At 53.0% G+C, this 17,624-nt stretch overlaps 1 protein-coding gene across 10 annotated transcripts in view, besides 5 other annotated features; it reads right to left on the minus strand.

Moving 5' to 3' along the window:
• Nucleotides 1,185-1,746: an enhancer, noted in NCBI's record as "H3K27ac-H3K4me1 hESC enhancer chr15:28352349-28352910 (GRCh37/hg19 assembly coordinates)". NCBI's record gives its function as "activates a minimal SCP1, AML or CMV promoter by ChIP-STARR-seq in naive H9 embryonic stem cells {active_cell/tissue: H9 hESC(naive)}" and the evidence as "EXISTENCE:reporter gene assay evidence [ECO:0000049][PMID:30033119]".
• Nucleotides 1,747-2,307: an enhancer, noted in NCBI's record as "H3K27ac-H3K4me1 hESC enhancer chr15:28352911-28353471 (GRCh37/hg19 assembly coordinates)". NCBI's record gives its function as "activates a minimal SCP1, AML or CMV promoter by ChIP-STARR-seq in naive H9 embryonic stem cells {active_cell/tissue: H9 hESC(naive)}" and the evidence as "EXISTENCE:reporter gene assay evidence [ECO:0000049][PMID:30033119]".
• The window catches only part of HERC2 (HECT and RLD domain containing E3 ubiquitin protein ligase 2), a 211,140-nt gene continuing 198,537 nt past the window's right edge, over nucleotides 5,022-17,624 (minus strand). For all 10 annotated transcript variants that reach the window (XM_006720727.4, XM_006720726.4, NM_004667.6 and 7 more), the window contains 8 exons: nucleotides 15,328-15,411; nucleotides 10,995-11,136; nucleotides 10,647-10,841; nucleotides 9,411-9,523; nucleotides 8,594-8,784; nucleotides 7,555-7,660; nucleotides 7,053-7,265; nucleotides 5,022-6,017 (listed from right to left, as the gene is read on the minus strand). In XM_006720727.4, the coding sequence (XP_006720790.1) occupies nucleotides 5,745-6,017; nucleotides 7,053-7,265; nucleotides 7,555-7,660; nucleotides 8,594-8,784; nucleotides 9,411-9,523; nucleotides 10,647-10,841; nucleotides 10,995-11,136; nucleotides 15,328-15,411 (1,317 nt within the window). In that variant the 3' untranslated portion in view covers nucleotides 5,022-5,744. The remainder of the gene's footprint in view (nucleotides 6,018-7,052; nucleotides 7,266-7,554; nucleotides 7,661-8,593; nucleotides 8,785-9,410; nucleotides 9,524-10,646; nucleotides 10,842-10,994; nucleotides 11,137-15,327; nucleotides 15,412-17,624) is intronic.
• Nucleotides 7,977-8,476: an enhancer, noted in NCBI's record as "H3K4me1 hESC enhancer chr15:28359141-28359640 (GRCh37/hg19 assembly coordinates)". NCBI's record gives its function as "activates a minimal SCP1, AML or CMV promoter by ChIP-STARR-seq in naive H9 embryonic stem cells {active_cell/tissue: H9 hESC(naive)}" and the evidence as "EXISTENCE:reporter gene assay evidence [ECO:0000049][PMID:30033119]".
• Nucleotides 14,382-14,526: an enhancer, noted in NCBI's record as "145 bp 15:28365618 sequence used in MPRA reporter constructs". NCBI's record gives its function as "activates a minimal TATA-containing promoter with rs12913832 allelic activity by MPRAs in UACC903 melanoma cells {active_cell/tissue: UACC903}" and the evidence as "EXISTENCE:reporter gene assay evidence [ECO:0000049][PMID:36423637]".
• Nucleotide 14,454: a transcriptional cis regulatory region, noted in NCBI's record as "rs12913832 or 15:28365618 MPRA-significant variant associated with a GWAS melanoma risk locus at 15q13.1". NCBI's record gives its function as "allelic transcriptional activity by MPRAs in UACC903 melanoma cells {active_cell/tissue: UACC903}" and the evidence as "EXISTENCE:reporter gene assay evidence [ECO:0000049][PMID:36423637]".

Below are 17,624 nucleotides of genomic sequence, written 5' to 3' on the forward strand. Positions count from 1 at the left end.
TCTGGGGTGTGTGTGCATGTGGGGTGTGAGAAGTGTATGTGTGTGTGCATGTGTGTGGGGAGTTCTGTGGGGTGTGTTCACGTGTGTGAGGTTTGTAGGGGTGTGTGTACGTGCCTCGGGTGTGTGTGTGCGCATGTGTGTGGGGTGTGTGTATGTATGTGTCTGGGGTGGTGTGTGTGCGTGTGTGGGTGTGTGTGCATGTGTGTGTGGGGTGTGTGTGTGCATGTGTCGGGGGTGTGTGTGCGTGTGGGGTGTGTGTGTGCGCGCGCGTGTGTGCATGTGTTGGGGGTGTGTGTGTATGCATGTGTGTGGGTGTGTGTGCGCGTCTGGGGTGCGGGGAGCATGCGTGTGGTGGGGGTTCTGCCTCTCACTCCCTCACCCAGGAGGAGGCTGTACCCAAGGCAGTGTTGCCAGACTGGGCCAAGCCAGGAGCAAGGCTGAGCGGCTCCACCCGCGGGCTCCCGGGCTGGGACCCGGGGTGTCACCCGCAGTGCTGAGCGTTTGTGCTCTGAGACCTCGTTGTCCCCAAGGGTCTCTCCACCCTCCGGGCCCCGGCCTCCGGCCCCGCCTGGCATGAGGAGCGGGGAGCGCACAGCAGGGTGGGGGCACCGGGCGCACGCGGGGAATTTCCCCACGACCACGGCCACGCCAAATGCCTGAACCTCCACGGCTGCCGGCAACAGCGAGCGCAGGGAGGGGGCTGTGCGCGCGGGGGCCCTGGTGGCGGAGCAGGCATCACCCCGAGAGCGCCGAGGTTTGTGGTCGCAACCCCGGGAGCACCGCTGCGGGAGGAGCGGCGTGGCCGGGCAGAGGCGACTTCCTCGCAGGCAGTACCGGGCCCCGCGGCCGCCTCCGGGCCTGTCCTGGTGCCCCGGGCTTCCACCCGGCGGGCTGGCGTGCGGGGGCTGGTCTTCGCCGAGATCCTGCTGGGAGCGGGCTCTGGCCCCACGGTGAGCCCGGCCCCAGCCTCGGTGATGCGCTTCGCTGCCGCGCGGGGAGGGAGAGTCCGGCAGGGTCACGAGGCGCCGGCCCCGGGGCCGCTTGAAACCCGAAGAGACCCCGCTCGCTCGCGCGCCCGCCGGACGAATCCTCGCGGAGGTCCCGGGGCGCAGCCGGCGTGAGGGTGGGGTCTCATCGCAGGGGCGCCGGGAGCCTCCCCGCTCCGCTAGCTCAACCAAGGACCGCTCAGAGGGGCTCTCACCCTGAACCTCGGCTTTTCTAAAGGAAGGGCAGACCCCAGATTTCCCCCTTCTCTTCTCGAACGTGCTTTGGGTGTTTTTCTGCTTTCTTTTTTGGCAAGTCAGGACAGCGCACAGTGCACGGAGCTCCGAAGCTCTCTCAGCTACTCCCGGATTTCTGGTTAAACCTGAGGGTGAGCCCGAAAGACCGCTGCCGCCGGCGGCCACCCCAGCGCGGGTCCGCTGAGAATGGAAACAGCAAGTGCGCGCCGGCCAGGCCGCCACCTCTCCCTCCTCCAACAGCCCGGGCAGCCGCAGGGGCCAGCCCCGGGCCAGCCAGGGCCCAGCACAAAATGCCTTCCAGCGACAGCAGCGCCGGAAGCCCCTTCTGAGGTCGTGGATAAGCCTCCGCGCAGGGGCCCCGCGCTCAGCCCACCCCGCATGCCTCCGCGCCAGGGCCTGCTGGTGGGTGGCCGCCTGCCCCGGGCTATCCCGGGCTGGGCACTGGCGCCGATCCCGCCTCGCTTGTGGAGCTGCATTTGGGGGGAAAGATGGACCGGCAGCGTGGGACGCAGAGCCAGGCCAGGCCGCACGGGCTGTGCACAAAGATATGCCCGACAGGCGGGGAGAAGGCATGGCCCACCGGCTCAGGAGAAAGTCCTGGAGGGGAGGCAGTCCGCCCCTGGGGACAACGCGGGGGGCCGTATTCGGACACCACCAGAAGTTCCTGTCGGAGACGCTAAGGGTGCCCACGGTGTCGGGCACCATGTAAAGCTCTCCTAACTCTAAGCAGACTGCAGTTTCATGCACATCATAAGGGCACAGCCACTGTCACCGATTCTATCAGCAGAAAAGCAAACAGGCAGGAAACCACAATTAATCCACAATTCACAATGCTGGTGAGCTTCCAAACAATTGTCAATGTGACAAGTTTCCACTCCTAGCACAGATGGGTCGTCTGTCTTTTCTACAGTTTAATGGTCTCGGCTGCACACATTTGTCTGTCAAAGTGAACTATATAACTTCAGGCTTTGGAAGTTGGATGAGAGTAAAAAGTTAAACTGAAGGTGACATGGAACTGTCCGAGAGAGTCCTCCTGTCCAAACATGAAGAAGCTGTGGCTACAAAAATCACTTTTTTTTTTTTTGTGGGAATGAAGTGCCCTCTAGTATGCTTTTAGTTAAAAAAAGAAAAAAAGAAAAAAAAAAAAAAAAAGGCCGGGTGCGGTGGCTTACGCCTGTAATCCCAGCACTTCGGGAGGCAGAGGCGGGCGGATCACGAGGTCAGGAGATGGAGACCATCTTGGCTAACACGGTGAAACCCCGTCTCTACTAAAAATACAAAAAAAAAAAAAAAAAAAAATTAGCCGGGCGTGGTGGCGGGCGCCTGTAGTCCCAGCTACTCGGGAGGCTGAGGCAGGAGAATGGCGAGAACCCCGGAGGCGGAGCTTGCAGTGAGCCGAGATGGCGCCACAGCACTCCAGCCTGGGCGACAGAGTGAGACTTCGTCTCAAACAAACAAACAAACAAAAAAACCATAACACTTACGCCATTGCTTCTAACTGCAGAAAGCAGAGACACAGCCCCCGCAGGGCAGCTGCATGGGGGTCCCGCCTTGGTGTCTGCGGCCGGCCTCTTCTGGCACATTAGCTTCCCCCTCAGGACTCTTATACGAAAGCTCTCAATCCTCAATCATTTTCGTCTGGGTTTTACCTATCACATTGGAAATTACAACTGAAAAAATTTAAAATATTGAATACGTTTAGAATAAAAACAAACCCATGACTTGTTAACATGGACACAATTTTGAAAAATCGTTTTCCAAAACGAAAACAAATTAGTGACAATGGCATTAATACTTTTATTAGCCTCTTTAACTGTCTGGCTTAATGGAAGTGTAAACCAAAAAAAGTGGCCCAGCGCAGTGGCTCACGCCTGTAATCCCAGCACTTTGGGAGGCTGAGGCAGGCAAATCACGAGGTCAGGAGATCGAAACCATCCTGGCTAACACAGTGAAACCCCATTTCTACTAAAAATACAAAATTTAGCTGGGCGTAGTGGCGGGTGCCTGTAGTCCCAGCTACTCGGGAGGCTGAGGCAGGGGAATGGCGTGAACCTGGGAGGTGGAGCTTGCAGTGAGCAGAGATCGCGCCACGGCACCCCAGCCTGGGCGACAGAGCGAGACTCTGTCTCAAAAAAAAAGTGAGACAGGCCTCAATCCACTTAGAGGTTGATTTTGCCACAGCTGAGGACGTGCCAGGGAAAGAGACAAGCCACAGTAGGCTCTGTGTCCGGGGCTTCTTCCAAAGAGCTTTGAGGATTTCAATATTTAAAGGGGAAAAAGGCAGGAGGGGAAGGAGGAAAGAATAAAAAGGAGGGAGGGTAGGAAAAGTGAGAGAAGTGGGGCACACCCTTGTGAGGTTTTGATGAGTGCTCGCTGAATCGCAGGGGGCAGAGGAAGAGTCAATTATACATTCGGCTCACGCTCAGTAAATCTGCACTTTACATCAGATAAAGTCAACCTAGAGTCGAGGAAGAAGTCAAATATGCATTAGTCTGGGAATGGGCGTACAGACAATTTCTAGTCTCTATCCCTTACGGAGCGATGAGCTGTGACTTTACATAGTCTGGGTCCGGGAGGCCACCTGGGGAGATACCTGTTCAGGCACACAATGAAAAGGCAGTTTCCCGTGTGACCGTTTCCAAGCTCACGCTTTTCTTCTGGCCTAGTGGGCTTGCGGGTGGAGATTTTCTTTCCTTTCACAGAAGACAGGTGAATTCTCATTTCTGTCTGTGCATCCCCACATTGTGAAGTTTTGGTGGAAGGAGCTGAAGAAAATCTGGCCTCACAGAGAGACGTAGTAGGAGATAGAGGCTCTCATGGACACCCTGAAAGGGCCTCAGGAACTCCAGGGGTCCTCAGCCAGGACTTTGAGAACCCACATTCTAGAGGCAGAAGGCATTTGCCAGCCTGATTTGGGGGTTGGCCAATGGAAAGTGGGTGGAGGGGACAGTGCAGCTCTGGGCCCTCTTACACCTGTGTCACCACCGTGATACACACGCCCAAAGCGAGAAGAGAGATGTGAAGCCTGACACCTCCTAACCGCGGGCCCAGAGCCACTCAGCAGAGGCCGGCCCAGCCAGGCGCGCGAGTGAGAAACGCTGCTTCTCACTGACTTCAGGGGCAATTCTGTTATGCCGCAAAAGCTGACAACAAAAGGGTTGGTGATATTAACAAAAATAATACCACACAGCTTATGGACGTTTTGAGCTAAGCTGAAAATAGACTAATCCTGGCATTTACCAATTCAGTTCTGGAAAGGTTCCCAGAAAAAAAATAAAACTTTCCCTCTTTGGATCTTCTGTGCCAGTGCTAAACATCGTGTCCCTGAATAAACTGTCTCCCAACGTGAAATACATAGTTTTGCCTCAATCTGATAGTCTTCAGCTCAAGCTCTAATGCGTTAGACCTGCCAGCCAGTTTTCCTAGCCTGTTCTCAGTTCTACCCTTTGCAGAGTGCGTGCCATACACAAGCAGCCCAAACCGTGTACCATGGCTGCCTGGACGGAAGACTCTCAGCCCAGGCCAATGAAAGCAGAAGCCAAGGCTGTGCAGACAGATGGGGCTGGGGAGGAAGTCGGAGGAAACTCTGAAGGCTCCAGAGCCCTTCAGCCCCTGCCACCAGCTGGTCCCGTGGAATCTTCCATTCTCCTAATCACTTCTTTGTGACTTGAGTTTGGTTTAACAAAAAAATAATCTCAACTTGGCTGAAATCTTTACTACTGCTATATCAAGAACTAATTGATTTTTTGGTTGTACTGGTTAAGAAAGCTCAGCCTACACTTTTATGTCAGATGTTTTATTTATAGATAATTAAAATTTAGGCATATACATGACACAAACATTATATATAGTACACTTTCCATGATAGAAGTTATGATGCTGTTCACAGAAAGGCCTCAATTCAGATGACATAATGCATATGCTACAAGGGGACACCTGGGAGGGGGGACACCAAATGGCCTTCTGGTTTTTCATTTTGGTTTAAATATCCTCTGGATGCATTCAAGTAATACTAATCATTTCATGTTCAAAAGTCTTTTAATAAACAAATTCAGAGTAAAATTAATTGAAATATTTATAATACGATTTGTTACACAGTTATTTCCAATATACAATCAAGACGACTCACGACACTTGAAAGAAAGGAGAAAGAAAAAAAATCGATTGCACCCACAAGTAAAAAGGCTTTATTCATTTTGGGGATGCTGCAATTTGGTATTTATATAAACATTTACACACTTTAGTAAACACAGTCCTACATGTAATGCAGCATTACGGGTGAGAAGACCCTTGGAAGTCGAGCGTCCACAGTGTTCCACGCGCACAGGCGGACCTTCTCACTGTCATTCCCATCACGGCCAGTCAGTCTCTCCACTCCCTCCTCCCGCCTGGCTCGAGGACGGACGCTTCTCATCAGACACACCAGGCAGCCTACAGTCTACACAGCAGCGAGCGCTCTGCTGCCTGGCTCAGGCTCTCATCTCACGAGGACGTTTCCCCATCTTAGTGTCCTGTTAAATAATCTTGTGTAGAGTCCGAAGCAAAGGAGTCGACATCCTCGTTATCTGAATCGTCGCTGCTGTCGTCGGCGGCTGGCTCTCCTGTAAGTGCGATGCGAGCGTAGTCATCTGTGTCTATGGACTTGCAGAAGTGGATGGCGTACTTGAGCTTCTCCTCCAGCACCTGCTTGCAGGAATACCTGGGCAGCTTCAGCAAGAAGAAACAGGTGTAGGACTCAGGGAGGAAGTGGTCTGGAGGGTTGTATTTATCCAACACCTGTTGAGCAGAAACATGAAGTGATTAGAAATTGAGTACGGCTGCAGTTTACTTTACTGTGCTCATTAGACTCTTCGTGCTCACAAAACCATATTTTTTGCTAAGAACAAAACAGCAGAAAACATAATCCAAACAACTTTAGGAGTAACGAGGAGCAATTAATTCCTAGAACTTGGAGTAAGAAACAGCACCTCACTATGGAGATGATGGCTCTCTATTGTCATCCCGGGAAGAGGGCCCGAGGACCACACCACCTGTGTGGATGCGGGGCGGCCTGGCTGGCGGAGGACCAGGCACGTGACCACGGGAGAGCTCTTCATGAGTCTACCAGCCCAACTTTGACCCCTACAGATTAAGATACTAGGAAACGGCAAGAATTATGGACAAAAACTAAGAATTACTGACCTTCTAAGATAGAAAACTATGCATGCTCTCCAAGGTGACCCTGAAAGACGGCCACTTTTCTAACCCTGGCAGAGACGCAGGTCAGGCTGTGCTGGACACATGCTGGGAACAGTGGACCCCATCGATCCATCCGCCCAGGCACTGCTGTTACGGTCCCAACAGAGAGTGGGGGCATTAGGCCATCCCCTCTCAGTGACCCGGCAGGTCCACTGAGCTTGTTTCTGACCACCGGCCCACAGAGTTGGAACCCAAAGCAAAACCCTTGTTCTCAATCCAACGAGCGGCCTCATTTTTCTCGGTATGTAGGATGTTACTTAGTGACTCACCTAATTCGACCAGATAACTGAATGAGTGCTTTACGTGTGTTTGAAATCTAGAGCAGGCTGACACAGCAGTGATGTATTCTGGGGATGGCCAGATACATTTTTAAAAAATAGGTAATGGTACCCAAAACACATAATCATAACATTTTGAGCCTTCACATCAGAGAAGTTCGATGTTTTCCATTTTCATTTCTGTAAAGACTCAAGAGGCTCGTTTTCCATGTGCTGCAGGACTGTGGGTGAGGAGCCAGCCACCCACCGTCGGCCGACATCAGCCCAGGGCCGGCAAGCCCAGCCAGGAGCCTACCTGGATGACGAAGTCTCGGCCCCGGAAGTCGGCGATGGTCCTGGGCAGCCTCGTCCGGCCCCAGACGAAGCGAAGGAAAAGAGAGCGCTCTGTGTTGGAGAAGGACTCCATCACCTCCCAGAACCACTGGATCAGCGATGCGGAAGGCTCGATGCCTTTATAGGTGGCCACCGACTTGAGAAGGTGCAGCGGGATGTCAGGGCTGCCACACACCTGCGGGAGGATGTCTGTCAGGGCCGCGTGATGCTTCCCACCCTGGCATTTCCGCAAGACTCCGTCACGCTCCCTCTCTACACCAAGGCCTGTTTGGGGTGGGGAAAGGTCTGGGGGCTCTGGGTGGGCCCACACACAGCCTCCTGCAGGCGGGTGGAGGGACGCGCTCAGAGTGCACTCCCTTCAGTCAACACACAGGGCAAGGTTCTGACTCTAACTGCTGTCACTGATTTGTGGGTCAGCAGGCAAAAGGCAGCTGCAGGGCAGCCCCACCTGGGGGTCGGCATACCATCGTCTCCAGTTCGTAGCCGGTGAACAGAGAGAGGAGGGGAACAGGCACAACGCGGGCCATTCCTTCCCGAACAGCAGCCACCTGCTCATCAAATTCATGGAGTCTGGAAGAAAAAGCTCACTTTACACTTCTGTCTTCAGTGACACTGACTTTATGCTGCTCACACCAAGCCTTGGCATGCAGCACTGTGGCCGCACACGTCCCAGCTGGGAGAACAGAGGGAGCAGCTCCAGATGGCATGAGCATGCTTAGCAGCTCGGCACTGCAGAGCTTCTCCTGACACTGGGCTCATCTCGTCCAGCCGACAGGGTACGGCCTAATGACCACCTACAGCTATGCACACCCCAAGACGCCACTCTCAGTACCCACAGGACACCCCAGGAGAAGCCAGCACCAAGAGGGGAAACACATGTGCATCCGCCCCAGGCCCGAGACACTGTGCTGACCCACAGCAGACACGATACGGGGGACAGCACCGCCCAGGACACCTGCCAGGACTACCCCCACCAGAGCCCACAGGGCCCACCTGCCACACGGGGCCTCACCCAGACACTCTCAGGTGCTTCCAGGGGACATGGGACAAGCAGTGGAAGCTGTGGGTGGTGGTAATGACCTGCCAAGCCTGAATCACGGCACCCAAAGGACCGTGCACAGTCACACCTGGGCGCCTGGCAAAGGCTGCTCTGTGTCACTCAAGCAGCCTGGAGGGGGTTGAGACAGCCCCAGACACAGCCCTGTCCCAGGGAAGCCAACAAAGAAAGCACACAGGGGCAAAAACTATGGCCTCTCCAGGTGCAGTGACCCAAATGGGTGGATTTTGTTGATCTTGGTATTCTGGTTAGAGCCAGGAATGTCAGAGTAATAAATACCGACCCTGATCACAAAATAAGCTTTATACCCACAGATCAGCAATAGTTGGAGCCAAATCCATTACTTTACTGTGTATGACACTCCTGAAAAACACACATGTCCACACAACCACGTTCTGCTACTTTTGCTATTTATGTCAATGCAACAGAGACGGATGACCACCAACCTATAGTTTATCGCCAGCCGCACGTACTCCGCGCGGTTGTCCAGGGTGATGTGTGTGTGCTTGGAGCTCAACTGAATGTCCTGGCCACTGGCACTTGGCACTGTGAAGGGCAGGCTCATGGCTTCAAACTCCTCTGAGGTGGCTTCATTGTCTCGGATGTACATGAGTCCAGGAATAAAATCCTTATCAACCTTTTAAGGAGAAAAAGAAAGCCCATGTGTCGACTCACGGCTCATCTCCATCCCAGACTCCAGTCCACCCAGCACACTCTGTCAAGCAGGAACCAGGGTCAGCCTCAAGTGCATCTCGAGGCTGCAAGTGCATGGCACACACCAAGATATAAGAGGAGCAACGAGAGAGTACTTCACCCAAGGAGCTGAACGAAGAATTCACAATTCAGCCAAATGCTTAAAACTAACCACCGAGAAAGTTACAGCAACTGGCTAGCAAGGGTTCCCTCCCTGCAGCCGAGGCACAACACAGCCATGGGGAATGAGCTGGCTGTGGTCGCCCCAGGACAGAGCCTCCCGTGCAAGCCTGACTCACGGCCCCCAGCTGCCCAAAAGCTCAGCTTCTTCACAGGGGAGGCAGTGAGCTTCCTTATCTGACAAGACAGTGTATGTTACAAAACACCAGAAAATAGATGGTCTATTTTTTTTTTTTTTTTTTGCTACTCAAAGGTGGTCCACAGCCAACAGCCTCTGCGTCACCTGGGCACTGAGATTAGGCCAGAGTTCACAGCCTGACCGGACCCGCAGAACAGACTGTGCCTGTTAACAAGACCCTAGAGGCCCCGCCTGCCGCCCCAGGGAGTTACCTCACTGAGGTCCGCGATGGTGAGGCTCATCCCAGCCAGCTGCTTCCAGACAGGCTCGGCAAGGTTGAGGCTCAGGGGACTCCCGGTTCGGATGGCAATGCCCAGCAACACACCTGATCATTCAGGACACAAGTGACAGAGGACACTTCAAAAGGATGACAAAACTTCCCGCTCACTCACACACGCCACTGACAGCAGCTCCACACTCAGGACTCAGAGCCTTCTGAAGCAGCAACACCCACATCATAGGTCTAGGCCCTTCCTCAAGACCGCCTGTCCTGCTCTAAATCTATCCTTTTGTGCCTAAAAGCCTCTAACTCTTCACATCCTTTCTGCACGCACACTAGTTTAAGCCACACAGTGGCCAATTCTTCTTCTTATGACAGCAAAGAGCTGGAACTTCCCCACGGGAGTGTCCTCCAGGGAGCTACAGCCCTGCCCAGGAGGTGCTGGCTGTGGTGGGACGCACAGCCGAGGACACCCTGCACACCCTCAGTGGGACAGGAAGGAGGGACTGGCCAATGGCGAAGACCTCACCCCACTCTGATCCCAAGTCTCAGATAAACACTGAAGATGCAGAAACAGAATCTCCCATCTTCTGAGTACCCGAGGCAGTCTCCAGTCCTCAGCACGTGGCCGGGGCTGGCTCTGCCAGTGCCTGCAGCTGTGCACAGAGCTTCCGACGGTCCACCACCGTCAGGCCCTCAATGCTAGGCACGGAAGTCAACAGCACCTCGTTCGCTTCCACAATGTTGGTGAAAGGCACGATCAATATTAAAAGTCTTTTCTTTTTCTTTTTTTTTTTTTTTTTGATACAGAGTGTTGCCCAGGCTGGAGTGCAATGGTACGATCTCAGCTCACTGCAACCTCCGCCTCCCGGGTTCAAGCAATTCTCCTGCCTCACCCTCCTGAGTAGCTGGGACTACAGGTGCATGCCACCACAGCCAGCTAATTTTTTTTGTATTTTTACTAGAGACGAGGTTTCACCACATTAGTCAGGCTGGTCTCGAACTCCTGACCTCAGGCAATCTGCCTGCCTCAGCCTCCCAAAGTGCTAGGGTTATAGGCGTGAGCCACCGCGCCTCACCCTAAAAGTCATTTTTATTGGTAACAGTCTCAAAAACTAAAAGCAGATATTCAAGATATCTACTGTCACTCCTCAAACAGATAGTACATTTTAACTCAAGAGCAGGCACAGGCCACAGCGACACAGTCTCAAGCGGCCGAGAAGCTCACCCAGGAAGCGGAACATGCTGCTGTGCACGGGTGCTCTGGCGGCCGGGCTGAGCAGGTAGCAGTCTCGGTTGGCCCCAGACTCATCCCTCCCGTTGGGTGTCACGATCAGCAGGGGCGTGAGTCCGTTCTGCAGCTCCTCACAGATCTCAGCTATGGACTCGCTGTAGCCGCCCCCACAGTCATCCACAGATTCACCTGCAGGGGAGAAGCAGCCACTCGAAGTCCCCTCACACAGTCCTGTGTAAAGAGAGCCCCAACGCTCCCACACCATGTGGCCTCTGTGCTCCCTGTGGGCTCAGGCGACCACTGCCGGGGACACAGGTGCTCCAGCACGTGGCAAGTTCTCACCCACAAACTTGACTTTCCAGACACGGTGAGGAAGGAGGAGGCTGTCGGGACCAAACGAGCTCATCTTAGCACACATCTGCCCAAAGACAGACTTGGTGCCGTCGGGGCCGGCCAGCCCGCCTTTGCTCCTTGATCGTTTGACCTGGAGAGGAGGAAGCAAGCAAGCGTGAGGCCGCTGCCGCAGCAGGAAGCACACAGTCGGGGATATGCGGCACTGGCGAATGCACGAGGAGGAGGCACCGTGCATGGGCCCCTCCCTGGTCACACACCTGCTTGTGTGGACGCCAGGCAGACCCTGCCGTCTGGGGCGCTCGACTGTGGACACCCGAGACCGCTGCCTCACCCCATTGGGCATGTCGCCAGTGATGTGCCCAGCAGCCCCCAGGACTAGTGTGTCTGAACAAACACACCTTCCAACACGACACACACCACCACCACGTCCACAGCTGCGGCCCGGCAGCACCACCCTGGCACGGACCATCCTCACACCCTAAGCACTGCTGCTACTTCACCATCTTGCCACGACCTCATGAAATAAGACACCAGGAACTCCAAAAGCAGCTCCCCCAGCAGACCAGAACAGACTCCCGGCACTCAAAGATTCAACCCAATGCCCCTGAGACTGAAGCAGACACAGTGAGTGAGTGCCTCAGCCAGGACCAGCCCTTCCCCACATCTGCTTCCACCCATCCCATTTCCAAGCCTTGGGGCCACTCAGCCTCCCCAACACAGGCAGTCACTCCCTGCCCATCCTTCTCATCCTAAGCTACAATTGCTAAAGGCTCAGGGGCCTCCAATTCCCAAAGACACCAGGGCAGGAGCCCTAGGGCCCCGCCGCAGCAGGACCTCGGCACATCGGAGGGCAGGTGGCCGAGGCTGTGCATCAGAATCATCTGGGAAGCCCAGTCTGGAAGGATGTCAAAAAGAAAAATTGAAGAAAAAATGGTCCTGAGAATGTATTTTGATGACTCCTCCAGTGAAGCTCTCTTCACCTTTAGCTCACTTAAAGTTGAGTTTAAACAGCTTACAGAGCAGGCTGCCATAACCAAGACTAAAAATACAAGAAGAATGACAGGAGCCACAGTTGCCTGTAGAATGAACTTGTCTGCGTGCCACACACACGGCTAGTGTTCACAGACGTGAGTTCCTGGAAACTCGCGGCAGCTTGTTAAGGCTCCATCATGCCCAGAGGAGACTAGGCTACAAGAAAAGAACAGGACATGCCCTATGTCACGGCGGCTGTGTGAGAGGAGAGGTGCACCCAGCTCCCCGAAGCCCACGGGGCTGCCTCTCCTCCATGACGACACCCACTAGTAGAGGCTGTCTGCACTCAGAGGCTGCAGAAAACAGCAGCCATAAGGCTGGAGGCAGACAGGCTCCTGCGGGACAGCACTTTCTCTGCTCAATAGAAACACAGATGATTTTAACTGTCTTTAATCTGAATTCCCTAAATTTTCAGAAATGTGCATGCAATAACTCTGTAATAAATTTTTAAGTATAAAAAAGTTTTTATGTAGTGATGTTCAGATCCTGCTATAAAACTAAATAAAATTCCCAACAAACAAAACCTTCCAGTAAGATGACCTGTGTTCTGGAGTCTCTGAAACTATCCAGACAGCTGTGAGAGTCCCTCCCATGGCATCCTCTTGGGAGGCGTGTCCCTGAGCCCATCATCGCAGCCATGGGGTGGCGGGTTGGAGGCGCCTGTGCAGCCTTCCTGGCTCCGTGCTGGTGTCCTGTGCACACCCTGAATTCAAACAATGTTTTTCTCCATGTTCATTTTTAGGCAGAAAATCACTTCTATTTCTACATCTGTAGAAAATTTCCTCGCTTTGGGAGGGGCATGCTACCCTGAACGGGAAGGAGCCACCTCTGGCACCCGGGGCCGTGGCTGAGCCAGAGCAGCCCCCAGACGTCAATCCACATTGCACACTAGGCTGAAGGGTGTTTATCTGATTCTTAAGAAGGCCTGACACCACGCACGGTGGCTCACGCCTATAATACCAGCACTTTGGGAGGCTGAGGTGAGTGGATCACCTGAGGTCAGGAGTTCAGGACCAGCCTGGCCAACACAGTGAAACCCTGTCACCACTAAAAATACAAAAAAGGCTGGGTGCGGTGGCTCATGCCTACAGCACTTTGGGAGGCCGAGGCGAGTGGATCACCTGCAGTCAGGAGTTTGGGACCAGCCTGGCCAACATGGTGAAATTGTCTCTACTAAAAATACAAAAAAAAAAATTAGCCTGGCATGGTGGCACACGTCTGTAATCTCAGCTACTCAGGAGGGTGAGGCAAGAGAATTGCTTGAGCCTGGGAGGTGGAGGTTGCAGTGAGCCAAGATTGCACCACTGTACTCCAGGCTGGGCGACAGAACAAGACTCCCTCTCAAAAAAAAAAAAAAAAAAAAAAAAAAAAAAAAAAAAAAGGCCTGATATAAGTTGTCGTTTTTTGTTTGCTTTGAGACAGTGTCTGGCTCTGTCGCCCAGACTGGAGTACGCTGGTATGATCTCGGCTCACTACAACCTCTGCCTCCCGGGCTCAAGCAATCCTCCTGCCTCAGCCTCCCAAGTAGCTGGGACTACAGGCACCCACCACCACACAAGGCTAATTTTTGTATTTTTTGTAGAGATGGGGTTTTATCACGTTGCCCAGGATGGTCTCAGACTCCTAGGCTCAAGCAATCCATCCACGTCAGCCTCCCAAAGTGCTGGGATTACAGGCATGAGCCACCACCAACGACTAATATAAATTTGTTTGCCATTTACCCAGTTTGTTTTTTCAATTGCATACTGAACGTTTTTGTAACACAAGCTGGGGATAGCAAGATGAGTAAGAAAGAGGTGCTCAGCATGTAATGACTTCTTAAAAATTTCAGATGATACAAAGACAGAAACAAGGGTGCCTAACCTGCATCCTAGTTTATCAAAACTTCACTGATTCCCAGAGTCCCCCAGGCTTGAATACCCACCCTGAGAGCCCCTGGCCCAAAAAGTCTGCGTGCGGTTTTGAGGGAGGTGCAAGTCAAGGTGCACTCAATCGCGGGGGTTAGACAACGCAGAAGCCATCAGCTGGCCTTGCCTACAAGCTATAATGTTTATGATGCACAGCAAACTGAAGCCATCGTCCAAGGTAGGGAAATAAAAGCTTTTTTATGAACCTAGTTAAACAACCTATTTATGTGAGGACGTGACTGACGTACAGCTTAGCATTAAACACTCTGACGTCAGTGAAGAGACCAGCTCCATCAATGTGGTCACATGAGCTGTCCAACAAAGGACAAGAGTTTCGTGTCTTAATTCAAAATGCCCCCAAGTATAACTCTGAAAACATTTCTAGTCTTGTAATCAACATCAGGGTAAAAATCATGTGTTAATACAAAGGTACAGGAACAAAGAATTTGTTCTTCATGGCTCTCTGTGTCTGATCCAAGAGGCGAGGCCAGTTTCATTTGAGCATTAAATGTCAAGTTCTGCACGCTATCATCATCAGGGGCCGAGGCTTCTCTTTGTTTTTAATTAATTGTTTTTAACTGTGAGTTTATATACACTTGAAGCAGTATACATTTAGAAATGGTCTACTTGTCGTTTCTTTGATTACTACCCATGAGACAGTATTAGTAATTCTGGCCTATGAAATTGGCAAAGAAAACTACCAGTGGTGGGGAGGGTGTGAGGATGGTGGGAACATGAACTGTTATAACCTATAATCGGATGTATCATCAAATTGTCACTGGGCCTCTGACCCACTCCACTTCTCAGAACTTAACAAAAGGGGTGACCGAAGATACACCCAGATAGCCCTGCCTGTACCACAGAAAAGTGGGCACGGCCCCCCAGCACCATCAGAGAAATCTGACAGAGTAAACCAGGACACACCCCTGCAAGAGAGGAGCAGGCTGCAGGCAGCTGCCAAACACAAGCAGCCCCACAGGACCCTATTCCATGGCAGGGAGGAGAGCAGCAAATTTCAAAAGGCAGTGATCCTGCTTTGGCTGTAACAAATAGACACACACCTCCCAATGTAACAGCAGCGGTTATCATCATGCAGTGGGAAGAGGGCTGATTTTATTTTCCCCATTCTTGCTGACCTGTGTTTGTGCTTTTGGACTATCTGACATAAATCTTCATTACTTCTGTATAAAGAAACACACTGACATTCCTGGAAGCCCCAGCACATCACATACAGGAAGCCCACAAAAAGGAAGGTGGCACCTGCTCTTTAAAGTTGGGGTGCACAGGATGGCAGGCTACCAGCGCTCTCGTCCCAGCCCAGGTACCCACGAAAGCATCACTTCTAAGGCTGTCAGACTTGGAGAGTAATCTCCATGTGCTACCTGGATGCGGTTCAGCTCCACGACGGGGCCATGCTGACGATCGCGTACCATAGTTGCTTGTACTACTTTCCGGAAAGCCGCCTCCTAAAACACATCAAACAGACAAAATTTAGAATCTGATATGGAAAGCATCACTCCTGAAGAAATCATCACATAGTTTTGTTTAAAATCTGTGTTGAAGACCTTCTTAAGGACAGAAAACTGCCAGTTCCCTTTTCTCAAGTTGTGAGGGTGCAGGGGAACAGGCTGGCCCCGAAGCACACAGGGACAGACGGCCAGGCAGGTAGTGCCAATGGCCGGGCAAGAGGCAGGTCCCTCAGGAAACTACCTCCACCCAGCAGCGTTCCGGAGGCTGGAAGAGCCCAGCACACACAGGGCACAGAACAGGGAGGGCTGGGCCTGGCAAGCACCTGCTCTGACTCAGGTCTTGAAGTCAAGGTTTCCCTGCCAAGCAAGCCCACCCGTGGCAGGGATTGCTGTTAAACCACTGCCTGCCATACAGCAGCCACGGGCCAGGGAGCACCGCGGAGCCAGCCGGACCTTGGATCGCCACTGCCTGCCATACAGCAGCCACGGGCCAGGGAGCACCGCGGAGCCAGCCGGACCTTGGATCGCCACTGCCTGCCATACAGCAGCCACGGGCCAGGGAGCACCGCGGAGCCAGCCGGACCTTGGATCGCCACTGCCTGCCATACAGCAGCCACGGGGCCAGGGAGCACCGTGCAGCCAGCCAGACCTTGGATCGGGACAGAAAAGACAGACCGGGGAGGGGAAACAAGGTCCTGGCTGGGATCACACTAAAAGAAATCGGGAGTGCCTGGGGTGAAGACAGCAGGGCGTGGCCAAACATCAGCACCACGGTGAGGACCCAGCCGTTCCCCAGGAGGGAGCAGGTCGGCCATGCCCGTGGGGAAAGGGCAGAGGATGCGGCACGCAGCCGTGCCAATGGAAAGGGATGAGACAGGTCAGCAGGGGTCTCAGCTCTCTTGGCCAAGGAGGCAATCGTGCCTTCTTTCGGTTAGGGGTGGGCTGTGGGAGCACAAGGGTCCCTCAGTGGAGGCTGAGCCCTTGCCCAGCTCAAAGCCTAAGAACTCCAAGCCCTGAAGGCAGGAGGTGAGGGCCCCAAGCGCCAGAGGAGACCCAGAAAGGGTATCCTGGCGGCACCCCAGCCCCATGCCTCTCGCACAGCCCAGACTCATCCTGCTCCCAGAGGCCCTGCCTGGACCTCAGGGCGGCTCCCCCTCCACAGGAGCACTCCCCTCTCCTCCCAGTCACCAGCCCGCCCACCTTCCTGGAGAGTCCATTTTGGTGCTCTGGACCGGGAGTAGTAACACCCACTCTCTGAGGCCGATCCTCACCATAACCAGGACCAGAACCGAGGCTGCCTACACATTCCCTGACCAGAGGTACCTTTCAGACGCCCTCAGCACTCCCCTGCTCTCCTGCAGCCCCAGCAGGTGCCAGATGCTGCTGCCCACCGCTCCCCTACCACACACCAGCTCCCACCCATGCCCCGCTCACAGCCTGCACAACGCTCACACAGGGCCAGGTGGGACGTGCCCTGCCTCTCACTTTTTTTCTCCCTACAAAGAAAGGTTTTTTTCCTCTGTGCTGCCTATTATCATCACCACTTTGAAGGATTAAAAAAAGAAGGTAAAATTAATCGTTTGCTACTTTTTATTATTGAACAGTAATTGAAATTATGTTTCCTATCCATTTTACCTGCCCAAGATTTCTTCTGCCTCTCTCATCAGAGAGATGGTCTTTCCATTAAACACAAGCCTGACCACTTCCACCCTCAGGCACACGTGAAAGTAAAATGAATGTACCAGTCCTGTTCAGCAGAAATCGTTCTAGCCAAGTGGAAACAAAGCCGGTCTTTAAAAAGTAACCTGCTGGGACAGGACTCCAAAACATTGCAATTTTATTAAATCACTAAGAATGGGCCATAATATTCGACAACAAAATACATTAGAGAATCACAATCAGGATTAGTGGTCCTCAATCCAATTCTATAACTTTTCCCTATACAGAGATGCCCCTACCGTATGGTAATTAGCCCCTTCAAGATCATCTTGTCAAGCTGCTTGCCAGAAACTAACCCAACTTCTAGAAAGCTCCAACTATTAGCAACATCTACAGGTCAAAACCTGCCTGGTGACTTTCAGATGCCCTCACTCATGACTGTATTATTCACCACCTGTTAATTCTCACTTGGCCAGCAATCTCTACACATTCAGGCACGGACCTTCGAGGTGATATATCTGTGACTCCTGGCCCCCTCTGCTGGACATCCT

This window comes from Homo sapiens, chromosome 15 (assembly GCF_000001405.40).
Source record: "Homo sapiens chromosome 15, GRCh38.p14 Primary Assembly".
NCBI lineage: Eukaryota > Metazoa > Chordata > Mammalia > Primates > Hominidae > Homo > Homo sapiens.